Source organism: Homo sapiens, chromosome 18 (genome assembly GCF_000001405.40).
Source record: "Homo sapiens chromosome 18, GRCh38.p14 Primary Assembly".
NCBI lineage: Eukaryota > Metazoa > Chordata > Mammalia > Primates > Hominidae > Homo > Homo sapiens.
The window spans coordinates 36,339,286-36,352,583 of record NC_000018.10 but is presented as its reverse complement, the minus strand read 5'-3'; the positions used below and the strand labels follow the sequence as shown (position 1 = coordinate 36,352,583).

General features: G+C 41.5%; 1 protein-coding gene across 40 annotated transcripts in view; it reads right to left on the bottom strand.

The window, feature by feature from the left end:
- The window catches only part of FHOD3 (formin homology 2 domain containing 3), a 482,508-nt gene that overhangs the window by 427,637 nt on the left and 41,573 nt on the right, over positions 1-13,298 (bottom strand). The gene's annotated exons all lie outside the window — the stretch shown is intronic.

Genomic DNA, 13,298 nt, shown 5'->3' with positions numbered 1-13,298 from the left:
AGCGCTGTCTGGAGAGAAGCCAAGCATACACATGAATGTGGCATAAATACTCCCACCAGAGCCTGTTTCAAGCCACCAATGCACAGTCGCTGAGCATGGGGTTAGAAAGAGGTGTGCAGCAGCTCACCAGTATACAGCATTTCTACCACACAGATCTGTAAGACCTAAATAACCTGGAGAGCAGAGGTAGCAGAATGGAGTAAAATAATTAGGAAGTGACACACTGTGAATGTCTATAACCTTTGTTTTTAATATAATCTGCTCAATTGTGAGTTTCTATAATTCTTATTTATTTTAAATTTCTTTTATTTTTATTTACTATTATTACTATTTTTTTGTAGCAGGGGGGTCTCACTGTTGCGCAGGCTGGTCTTGAACTCCTGGCATCAAGCAATCCTCCCACCCCGGCCTCCCAAAATGTGAAGATTACAGATGTGAACCATTGTGCCTAGCCAATTTAATTTTTAGTAATAGCTACATTTGAAAAGTGGCTCACGAAATTCCTGAGAATTTGACAATCAGTCTTGCAGGTCACCCAGGCCAGCACTAGCACATACTGCTCTTGGCCATTCAGTTGAGGTACCTAAAGCAGGGATAACAGAGATGAAAAGACTGACAGACCCTTACCCAGGCTTATCAGTCTCCACCAGCCCTGCCTAAGCCCTGTGCTCTTCTTAGACTGGAAGGAGGTGGGAATGTACTAGTGGCCAGCAGATGTAGCCCCATCTGGGCTATTTTGCATATCATTTCCATCTCGCATCTTCAGATTTTATTCCCAGTAGCCCAAGACAAATATCTCACTTTTCTGGACACTCACCCTGGCCTGCCAGGTATCTGCCTCAAGGCGCTTTGTGCCAGCCCCAAACTGTAACAGGAAGCCCCATAATCTCCCTAGCCTCTGACAGCAGAATCCCCAAACCTTAGCACAATGGCCTGTTCTCACCATTCCTCTTCTCACATTCTGGACAGCATAACTACTACCATTTCCACAGTTCAATTTTAACAAAATTATATGTCAGGCACAGGCAGGGCACCAAGGAACACATAATCACTTCCTTCCCTCAAAGAGATCGTTTAAGTATAACACACAAATCAAACACAGAAAAGAATAAAACACCATCTAAATCAACTGTCAAAATGGGTGGACGTTCATCCTCAGTTATATCCCTTCTGCTATCGTTAGCAGAGACCTAAGCATCCTCCATGGAACTGCCCGAGTCCCCCCTCCAGGATAGAGGCTGCCATTACCTCCTACGCCAGATGTCACAACCCGGATCCCTAATAAATGGGTGGGCAGGCCCATCCCATTTGTGCTAGTGAGTCCCTCAACTGAAAAAGAAAATAATTTGCATCTCTTTATCTCTCAGGAACTTCATGTGGAGTCCTCACAGCGGGGCTATAGGAAGAGGGGCTGCCCTTTGGGAGACAGGACATGTGTGTGCAAAGGGGATCCTAACAACACAGGGGCTGTGAAGACAGCAAACGAGTCAACACACACCACCCGAGCCATCCACCACACAAACCCCAGCCCATCATTACACCCGAGACACAGGAGATTAATATTTAAACCATCACATGAGCCAAGGAGGAAGAACACAGTGCTTCTTGGCTGGACCAATATGTTGAAAACAGCAAAAGTCCCTAAATATGTGGGGATGGGGTCATGTTTAGTTATTATTTTAATAAGCAAATTAATAGGTACACTAAATGAATTCCTCAATCTTGTCAGTGATAAAGAAGTAACAGTCATAAACTTTCCGAAGAACTAAAAACAATATGAATAGACAGTGAGTGGTGATTAATTCAAATCCAGTTATTACACAGATTTAGACAGATATATCAAAACTTTCCCTACAGAGCGAAAAACTCAGACACCTCCCTGCCAGACCAGTCCCCACCGGGGAATCTCAATTCTTACTTACACGGAGGCAACCTGATCCCATTCCTTGGCCTTTCCTGTCAAATGTCTTCCCAAGTGACTTAAGGGACCTGGAATTTCCTGACTCTGACAATTTTCATATCAACCCTGATCCCCTGGCAGCATGTCCCCTGCAGTCCTTTCTTGGCTCTAGGTTTGGTGGCCAGGACATTGCCAGGCACTTCAGGACATAAGACAAAGCCAGGAGCCATGGGGGAAGATAACATTACAGGGCTATTACAGAAGTACAGCGATTAAGGAAATTTAGGGGCAGTGACAGCGGTGCAACAGGAAGACTTCAGATTGGGTTGCAGGCTCACACAGATAGGGCTGTAAATCTGTGGCCAGGATTCTGGTGGGAGGCAGGGTGTTCAGCGGGCAGCCAGTCTCAGATCCACAGTAAGTGTCCTTCTAAATATCCAGGATTTTGTGCCACTCCGCCTGGGATAAAACACACCAATAAAGCAGGACCTCATTCTCTGGAGACATAGAAAGAGCCTTCCACTCCTTGTAGAGACACTATGCAAAGTCACTCTGGGGTTCTTTTGACTGTTCCAGCAAAGATAGTGCAGTCAAAAAGAAAGGGCAAGCCAGGCATGATGCCTCATGCCTGTGATCCCAGCACTTTGGGAGGTCAAGGCAGGCAGATCACTTGAGGTCAGGAGTTTGAGACCAGTCTGGCCAAAATGGTGAAACCCCATCTCCACCAAAAAACAAACAAACAAACAAAAATTAGCCGGGTGTGGTGGTGACACACCTGTAATCCCAGCTACTCAGGAGGCTCAGGCAGGAGAATTGTTTGAACCAGGGAGGCAGAGGTCACAGTGAGCCAAGATTGCGCCACTGCACTCCAACAGAGTGAGACTGTCATCTAAAGAAAAAAAAGAAAGGGCAGACTCACCATCCTGAAAAAACACCCAAACATCTCAAAGGAGGCTGATGTCACGTCTCGATTTATGTATTCTTTCTTTTTCTTAGTCCAGTGAACTAGCATGTTACTGGGGTAGCTTAATGATTATCTAGGTTTTGGCAGCAGGTCCACAGCGATCCATAGCCCAGGCAATAAAATTTCTGTGTAATCCTGAAATAGATTTGCACAGAACCGTTCTATAAATATATACTAGGGCTACTCTTTAAACTAATTTTGGTTATAGTTTAGAAGTGGGAAAACATTCTGATCTTAAAAAGAAAAAAGTAAACTTAATGGAAAGCGCAAGTGCTTATGGCACTTCATTGGTTCCCCCATCCCTGCATCCACATCCTCCCAATGTGATTTTGCAGCAAATTCCCTCTAGAGGTAGATTCTTCCTCTACTCCTGGAATCTGGGTGACCTGTGTCTTGCTTTGGCCAATGGACAGTGTCACGTGTGACCTGGCAGAGACTGGGGCTGCCCTCTCTTGCTGCTCTTGGAGCTCTGCCTCTATCTGAAGATGTTGGGGTTACCCACTGGAGGGTGAAAGACTCGGGCCTGGCTGCTCCTGCCACCCCCGCTCACAGCCTGCCAACTGCCACATGTCACGCGAGGCCAGCCTGGATGGCCAAGCCTCCAGATGACCCACATGATAGACACATGAGACAGCCCAGGAGAAACTGGCCAAACTGGGCCAAACCAGAACTTTCCAGTTGACTCACAGGCTCAGCAGCAACTTTAGGGTTCTGACTTTACGTCACCCTCCTCTTCTCATGAGCTTGCCACCTCAACCCACAGCCGACAGGGAAAACAACTTTCACACTCCACATGCTCTGCACCTGGATGGCAGGTGGGTGAGAGGTTTGCCCCCTTCGAGTTGCCCGCTGAATGCACCACGACACTGCAGGCTCAAGGCAGGGCTGGTCACTACCTGCCCAACCCTGACATGCCACAGAGCAAGAATATACCTGAGCCCAAAGTCCTGCTTCCCTGACCATCCCTGAGCCCAAAGTCCTGCTTGGGGCAGAAGACAGCAGCACTTGCTGGGTAAAAGCAAGGAAGGGGAGCCCAAACAGAGCCTGGAGCACCGGGGAGTGAGGGAGCAGTCAGCCAAGGACCCTCCCACACAGGAGAGGACACAGCAGGAGGCAAGAACACACGAAGTCCCAAACCCCCAGAGTGTGCTCCATGGATCCATGGAAATTCACTTTCAAAATGCAAATGGAAAGATAAAACTTGGAAGAATTTCAAGATAGCAACCTTAAGCACAGGACCCTTCTGACTCCATCAGTCACACGCCCACAAAGCTAGCCCCACTCTTGGCTCATAAATGAAGTGTTGCTGTGGACCCTACCTCTCTCCAGGGCCAGCTTGACTATGGGTCCCCTGAGTGCCCCACTTCAGGCACATACAGCTCTAAGAGAAGCCCAAAAGCAGTCAGCATGTTCCATTTGGTCAGTTGCAATACAGCTATGCCTGTTTCCCCCCTCAAATGGTACTTTTGTTGCTAGGCAGCCATGAAGCTTGTGGCTTCCTTGGATTTTGTGGTTCCTTTTAAATGGAGCAGAGACAAGGAACTGGACTTAAAGGACAAGCAAAAAATGTTAGGAAAGAGAGCTTTCCAACAAGCAGTGCCACATGTCCCTTTCACAAGTCTTAATAAAACCAACACAAAACTCGGTTCAATCATTCTAACTTTTATGGACTAATGATTCCCCCATAACCCATAACAACCATTGCAAAGGGACAAGATACAGGGCACGCACTCTGAGGTTGTCCTCTGCTATTTCCTAAGGTGATAGTGAGAATGTGGTATTCATTTCATTAACCTTCAAACTATACACACTTCTCACATGTATTCCTTTGTATGTATAATGCATTTCACATAAAAAATTGTAATTACATTTACATATTTTAAAAATACAAGTAACACTTGGTCAATTTTCTTAAGAGAAAGACTACATGAAATCAATTCACATGATATCAGAAGAAAGTAGTTCCTATTGGCTAACCCCAACAAATCATTTTTAAACTTTTAAGTTCTTAGTGGCCCATTTGGCCTTTTCTAAATGAGCACATCATAGTTACTTTAATAAATGTTTTAGGATGAAGTACAAAGATATCTTTGATGATCCAGCATATATGGGTTATGAAATAATATGAATGTATTTACTTTGAAAGCAGTTGGACTTTACTTTCTCAGAAATATTTAATAAGTTATGTTCTTTGTGGCCACCGAGCAAGAGAAGCAATGTCTTGAAATTGACTTAAGCAGTTTCCCAATAAGCCCAAGATTTCTATTTAAGTCAACAAAAGAGTCCAGCTCACCAACCAAAGGCAAGAGCCTCTATCAAATTCTGCAAGAAAGACAAAGGCCGGATGTCTCCCATTCAGAGCTTAAATTTAGAGGGAGTGATAGTCTGGTAAATAGGTAAACATTTGAATTATTTTAAAATATTTTGTTATCATTAAATAGCCAAAAATACATTAAACTTTCCCTTGAAAAAGCTGGAATATATTTTTTACTTATGTCTATAGGCACCTTTTGCCATTTTCCGTTTCACTTTATTCAAGTTGAAAATCGTATCAACACTATGTTTCAGGATTATTATTATCACTGGCTTGTTCACTCATTCAGATTGATAGTCCTTTCCTGTTCTTCTCCATGCCACACACTACACTGTGTCCTGGGGAGACACTGTGTCCATGCCACACACTACACTGTGTCCTGATCACCCAACAGCTGGTGGCAGTTCAGGAAGTGAGGAGCACAATGAGTTTGTTGCCTGTGTTGTTTCTGTTGTTTTCTTTAGGGTGGAATGTGGGGTGTAGGGACTGAAGCACAGTGGATGCAAAAGTCCTGTCACAGAGTGGGAGCAGTTTAAGGCAGTGAAGGGAGGCAGGCCACCGGCCATGGAGGGGGAGCCTCACTGCCCAAAGTAGACTAGACTTGATTCTAGGGCAATAAGAAGCCATGAAATGGAATGGCTGTGAGCAGATGTGTGCAGGACCAGCTTTGCAGTGTGGGGATGGAAGAGGGAAGACAAATGGAGAAGCCACCGCCAGGATCAGGGACAATTTCAATGTGGCTTGGACAATGGTGAATCCAGTGGAAATGGAGAGAAGGAAAGGGAGAGAAATGGTATAGGGAAGGAGGGCATAAAAGGGAGAAAGGAAAAGTTAGAGGATTGAGTGACTGATCGGATATGGTGGTGTCCAACATGGAGAGGCAAAATCTTGAGTTTCTTGCTTGAGCAAATTAGTAACTGGTGATACCATTTACCATTTGCATTAACATGGCAAACACTGGCCTAATAGCTGTTTGGGGGCAGGGAGATGGGATAAAATGAGGATCTGGTTTTTGGTTTTTCAGTTTTGTTTTTTGTTTTGAGGCAGGGTCTCACTCTGTCACCCAGCTTGGAGTGCAGTGGCATGAACAAGACTCACCACATCCTTGACCTCCCAGGCTCAAGTGACCCTCCTGCCTCAGCCCCCCAAGTAGCTGGGACTGCAGGTGTGCGTTACCACGTCTGGCTAATTTTTTAACTTTTAGTAAAAACAAGGCCTCGCCATGTTGCCCAGGCTGGTCTTGAACTCCTGGGTTCAGGCAAACCTTCTTCCTCACCCTCCCAAAGTGCTGGGATTACAGGCATGAGCCACTGTGCCCAGCCAAAATTGGGATTTGTTTTTAACGTGTTATGTCTAAAAATGGTGGTGAATAAAGAAATAGATTCAGGGGGCTGGGTGTGAATAAAAATATGATGGTTGAAATCCCACAGGTGCATTGGCATGCCGAAAGATAACTGCTTACTTCATGTGTCTTGAGAATCGGTAGTGGTATTCCCGTTTTTAAATTTCTGATATTGCTAACTGTGCTGTCTGAATTTTTTCTCTAATGATTTAGGAGAAGTTCTTTATTAATGTCTTTTTAAAGAACTATTGATTATATTGCTTTTCCTCTGTAAGTTTGTTTTCTAGCTCACTAATTGCTATTCTTATCTTTATTATTTTCTTCTGTATTCTCTGTGTTTGGCATGTTTTTTCCTAACCTCTAAAATCTTAAGATTTTCAGCCTTTCTTCTTTTCAATTATGTGCATTTAAGACTATAATTTTCACAAGACCTCATCTCTACTAAAAATTTTTTAAAAGTAGCTGGGTGTGGTGGTGCACACCTGTAGTCCCAGCTACTCAGAAGGCTAAGGCAGGAGGATCTCTTTAGTTCAGAAGTTCAAGGTTGCAGTCAGCTATGATCGTGCCACTGCACTCTAGCCTGGGCAACAGAGAGAGACACTGTCTCAATAAATAAATAAATATGAAAAAGACTATAATTTTCCTCTAAGTAAATTTTAGCTATAGTCCACAGGATCTGATGTGATGTATTTTCATTATGTTCGATTCAAAATAATTTCTAAATTTCACTGGGATTTCTTCTTTGATCCAAAAATTATTTAAAAGTATATTAAGTAATTTCCAAATATTTAGGAATTTTCTAATACCTTCTTTTATTGTAGATTTCTTGCTTAATTTCACCGTGATAAAAAAAAACATACTCTGTATGATTGGAATTCTTCGAAATTTCTTGAGACTTGTGTTATGGCCCAATACATGAAAATAATGCATCCTAACAGTTGCAGTGTTTGTTAAATGAGATGCTTAAATCTCTATCCTCACTGCTCTTTACCTGCTTGTTCTATAGAGAGGCATACAACTGTGAATTTTTCTATTTTTCCTTTTCATTCTGTCAATATTGCATTTATTTCAGTTATTAGGTGCAGACAAATACTTCCTAGTGGACTCTTCTAGCACTATGAGATTTCCTCCTTCTCTCTAGTAATATTTCCTGCCTGAAGAGTACGTCTGTTATTAATACAGGCATGCTACTTTCTTTTGGTTAGTGTTGCATGGATAGTCTTCTTTTAGTCCTTTACTTACAATATTTGGTACCCATATATTTTAGATGTATCTCTTATAAGTGGAATATAGTTTTTTAATCTAATCTGATAATTTTTAATAAAAATATATCAAAGACTGTTAATTTAAAATGATTGCTGATGTTTGAGTTCAAATCTGCATGTTTAGTATTTAATCTGCATGTTCTAGTTTCCTTTTTCCTCTTTTCCTGCCATATTTGGTTTAATCTACTATTCTTTATTCTTCTATATTCCTTTCTAGTATTCTATTTATTCCCAGGTACACATTCTTTTATTAAGCCTTTTAGTGATTTATCCTATAGATAATATGCCTTCCTGACTGAGCAAAAACTACTCTAAATTAGTGCCATCACTTCTCAGACAATGTTAAGGACACTAGACCACTTTAATATGATTTATACCTTTTTTTTTTGAGACAAGGTTTCATTATGTTGGAAGCACAGGTGTGTCCCACTGTGCCAGCTATACCTTTTGAGATAATGAGAAACGCATTTTAAATCCCATGAAGTAGTATTGTTTTGGGCAGTCAATATTCACTTAGATTTACCTTGTTTATTGCACTTCAATCTTTCCTGCATTTCTGTGCTTCTATCTATAATAATTTCCTTTTGCCTGAAGAACTCTCTTTAGTATTTCTTTAGTGAGAGTCTGCTGACAACAAAATTGGTCAGTTTCTGTTTCCTAGAAGCATCTTGATTTCACCCCCACTTTGGGGGTAACAGCTTTATTGAGATAATTTATACCACATAATTCACCTATTTCAAGTGCATAATTCTCCGGCTTATAGTATATTCACAGAGTTGTATATCCATCACCACAGTGAATTTCAGAACATTTTCATCACCCCCAAAATAAACCACAAACCCATTAGCAGTCACTCCTCATTGCCCTACACATATACCTTCCAGCCCCTCACAACCACTAATCTCCTTTCTGTCTCTATAGATTTGCCTACTCTAGACACTTCATGTAAGTGGAATCATACAATACGTGGTTGTCTTTGTCTGTTTTGTGTTGTTATAAAGGAATACATGAGACTGGGTCATTTATAATTTTAGAAGAGTTATCTGGCTCACAGTCCTGCTGGCTGGAAGACTGGGCATCTGGTGAAAGCCTCAGGCTGCTTCCACTCATGACAAAAGGCAAAGGGAAGCCAGCATGTGCAGAGATCACACGGTAGAGAGGAGGCAAAGGAGGTGGGACAGAGGTACCAGGCTTTTTTTTAACAGCCAGCTCTTGCATGGAAAAAATATGGGTAAGAACTCACTCTCCCCCAACCATGGGCATTAATCTGTTCATGAGGGATGTATCCCCATGACCCAAACACCTCCCATTATGCCCACCCTCAACACTAGGAATCAAATTTTGACATGAGATTTGGAGGGGACAACATCCAAACTATAGCAGTGGTCTTTTGTGACTGGTTTCTTTCACTAAGCATAATGTTTTATGGGCTTCATCTATGCTGTAGCATTTATTGGTATTTCATTCCCTTTATTGATGAATAATATTTGATAGCATGGATATATCACATTTTATTTATCCATTCCTCAGTTGATGGACATTTGGATTGTTTCCACTTTTTGGCTACTATGAATAATACTACTATAACATTTGTCTGTGTACAAGTTTTTATGTAGACATATGCTTTCACCTCTCTTGGGTATATACCTAGGAGTAGAATTGCTGGGTCATTAACATTTTAAGAAAATGTCAGACCGTCTTCCAAAGTGGCTGTATCATTTTACATTCCCACCAGCAATGTTTGAAGTTTCCAATTTCTCTACAATCTCACCAACACTAGTTGTTGTTTGCCCTTTTTATTATGGCAATCCTAATAAATGTGAAATGATATCCTATGCTTTTGATTTGCATTTTCCTGATGGCTAATGGTTTTGATCATCTTGTCATGTATTTACTGGGCATGTATATATCTTTTCTGGAGAAACAGCTATTAAAATCCTTTGCCCATTTTAAAATTGTGCTATTGGTCTTTGTTGTTCAGTTGTAAGAGCTTCTTATTTATTCTAATACAAGTCTTCTATCGGATATGTGATTTGCAAAAATCTTCTCCCATTGCATGGATTGTTTTTGACTTTCTGATGATGCCCTTTGAGGCACAGAAGTTTTTAACTTTGATAAAGTACAATTTACCTATTTTCTCTTGTTCTTTGTGCTTTTAGTGTCATATCACCTTCATTTTGAAGGACGTTTTGCTAGATAAAGAATGCTACATTAGTAGTTATTTTCCTGGAGTATTCTAAAACTGTTATTCCATTGCTTTCTAGCTTACATCATTTTGGTTTAAACATCAGCTAAGTCTGATATATCTCTTCTGAAGATAATCTATTTTTCTCTAGCTGCATTTAATACTTTCATTGCCTTTAATTCCCATGAGTTTTAATATAATGTGCTTGCATGCAGATTACCTTGTAATTATCCTATCTAGTATTCACAGCACTTCTTGAACTTAAAGTTTGGTGTCATTTGTTGATTTTAGAAAATTGGCCATTAACTCTTCAAATATTTCTGCTGTCCATTCTCCTTCTTTTCCCATTCTGTTATTTTAATACATATATTTTAGACCCATGACTCATATGCTTCTTATGCTCCTTTCTGCATTTTCCATTTTCTGCTCTTCACAAATTGGTCTTAATATCTTCTACTGACCTATATTCCAGATCATTAATTCTCCCTCCATCTGTGTCTAATTTTCTGTTGAACCATTTACTCCATACTTTTTTTGTATTTGTCATTTCTAAAATTTCCATTTGATTATTTATATTGTATTTCTCTATTTTGTTTTGTTAAAATTCCTTATCTTAATCTATTTTCTAGTATGTATTTATCACAATTGTTTCAGAGATTATATCTGATCATTCTGTTATCTGGATCACATAGATGTTTCTGTGGCCTTTTTTTCTTGGTCATGACTCTGGATATATCGAATAAATCTTTATTGAATGTAGTCATTGTTCATTAAAACATTTAGAGGTCCTGGATAATGTTTTCCTTCAGAGAGGATTTTCCTTAGCTTCTTGCAAGCCATAGGAACAGATCTCCTTAATCCAAACAAGGATTAAACTCACTCGAAACTGGATTTCAGTGTTTGTATGGCCTATTATGTGTGTGGTTAGCCCTTATTTCAATAGTGTAATCTTTAGGGGTCCCAATGAATGCCTGGAATGTTGAACAGAATCAGTCTATCTTGGTAAGACCCCATCTCCATTTTTTTCTCCCCAGCAGAATGAAACTACTATTAGCTCTGCTTAACTTCTCAGCCTCCTCACTTTCTACTTGCCTTCATAGACCCTGCACCTGCCGCTCATGAACAGGTAAATACATCAAGATGAAAAGCAACTTAGAATATCAGACTTAATGAGTCTGACCTCACTGAGTCTCCTTTTTTTCTGGGGTCTTGGCCACCTTGGTAGTTCTCCAGAGCCTTCAAACAAATGTTTTTGGTCCTCTGGCTAGCTTCTCCACTGTTCTGGGTAGAATATTGGTCTGCTACAAGCTAGTTCATTATAGCCAAAAGCAGAAGCCCAAACATCTAACTTTTAATAGCTAAAAATATTTACTATTCAATTAACACAAGTTAACATGAATTATTTAATCTTCACTCAAGCCTATGAGGATGGCACTATTATTATTTCATCTTTAATTGATATAAATCTGTAGCACAAGCTCACAGAACACTGTAATTTGGCCAAATAACTTGCCTAAGATTGACACAATTAGTAGCAACTGAACCTAAACGACCTGGCTCATGAGACATTGTTCTTAGCTGCTGCGCAAGAGAATACAAGGAAGAGGAAGAAAGGAAGGCAAAGGACTAAGTCCTCAGCAAACAACATTTAGAGGCTGCATCAAAGAAAAGGAGACTGGCCGGGCGCGGTGGCTCACGCCTGTAATCCCAGCACTTTGGGAGACCGAGGCAGACGGATCATGAGGCCAGGAGATCGAGACCATCCTGGCTAACACGGTGAAACCCTGTCTCTACTAAAAATACAAAAAAATTAGCCGGGCGTGGTGGTGGGGGCCTGTAGTCCCAGCTACTCGGGAGGCTGAGGCAGGAGAATGGCATGAACCCGGAAGGCGGAGCTTGCAGTGAGCCGAGATCGTGACACTGCACTCCAGCCTGGGTGACAGAGCAAGATTCTGTCTGAAAAAAAAGAAAAAAAAAGAAAAGGAGACTGAGCAGCAGCAGCCAGAGAGAACCAGAGGGAAAAAAAAAAAACAAGAGAAAGCCGTCATACAAACCAAGGGAAGAGTGCTTCAAGTAGAACATGGTCAACTGGAAAATGTGATGAGAGGTCAAGTGAGACACAGACTATAACATCTGGAATAATTAGGCCTAGTGTTACCAGCTGCTCAACCTTCAAACAATAAAAACCTTTGCCAAGATATGTATGCTCCAATCCCCACCTCCTAGTCTTCTGCAAACATTCACAGAGCACACAGCGGGTCCCAAGCGTATCCTGCTTATTTATTATTATCCTGCCTAACAAAGTGAGGCAGTGCAAATCACTCCTAGGTGGCTAAACTACATAACCAAATTCACGCACTTAAAAATTGAACAATTATTGGATAAACCACATAAATAGGATAACTCTTACTGATTCTCTTTAAATCATCAAAGCTCTTGCATAAAGCTTTCAAGGACTTTTAATATGTTATTGCTTTATATTTAAAAATCCCTGTTGTTCACATTCGTTCAAACAAGAATACTACAATGTATAAAGAAACTAAACATATGAAAGACTTTCAGTGTTATCAGAATGAAGAATTGGTGAAAGGGAGAGAAAGCAAAAACCTAGGGGAAGGGGTGCATTATTTCATTAATGTGAGCCACCAATAAAGTAGATCCAATAAGAACAGGGTTTATGCATAGGGTCACTCAGACCAGCTACATAATTTGTAGCATAAACCAAAAATGTGGGGCCTAATGTTCAAAAAGCAGGAAAAAAATCATTCTCCTTCCATCAGCAGTCTCTTTTGACCTCCCATGGTGTTTTTTAAAATCAGCTATTTACTATTGTACTTTCTCAGGCACGGGGATACTCACTGGACATATGTAGAGTTTCACAGGTGTCCACAGCCCCAGCCCCACCACTCTGCACATGAAGAACATGCCCAACCCCAACTCTCTCTGCACCTGCACCCAGGCCCCTGCTGGGCAAAGAGCAGCAGAAGTCCCTGGGCGGGGTGAGGAGTGGGCAGCAGACCACCCACCACAGGGAAGTAGGGAGGCAGAAGCGCCAAGCCCCTAGCACCTGCTCCACTGTCCCGTTGGCCTTTGCTTAAAAGACACAACTTCAAAAATAAAATTAAGAATTTCAGGACTATAGCCACATAGCATTAAATTCCAAGTGCAGAGCCCCCTTCTGCATATGGGGCCCTGTGCAACTACACTCGTTACACACCCATGGAGTCGGTCCTAGGGCAGGCCACCACTCAACACTTCCTGTTGGGTTCTGGGCTATGAGCCCGAAGCAGCCAGTTGGCTGCTGCCTGCCCTCATCTGCTTGCATTCC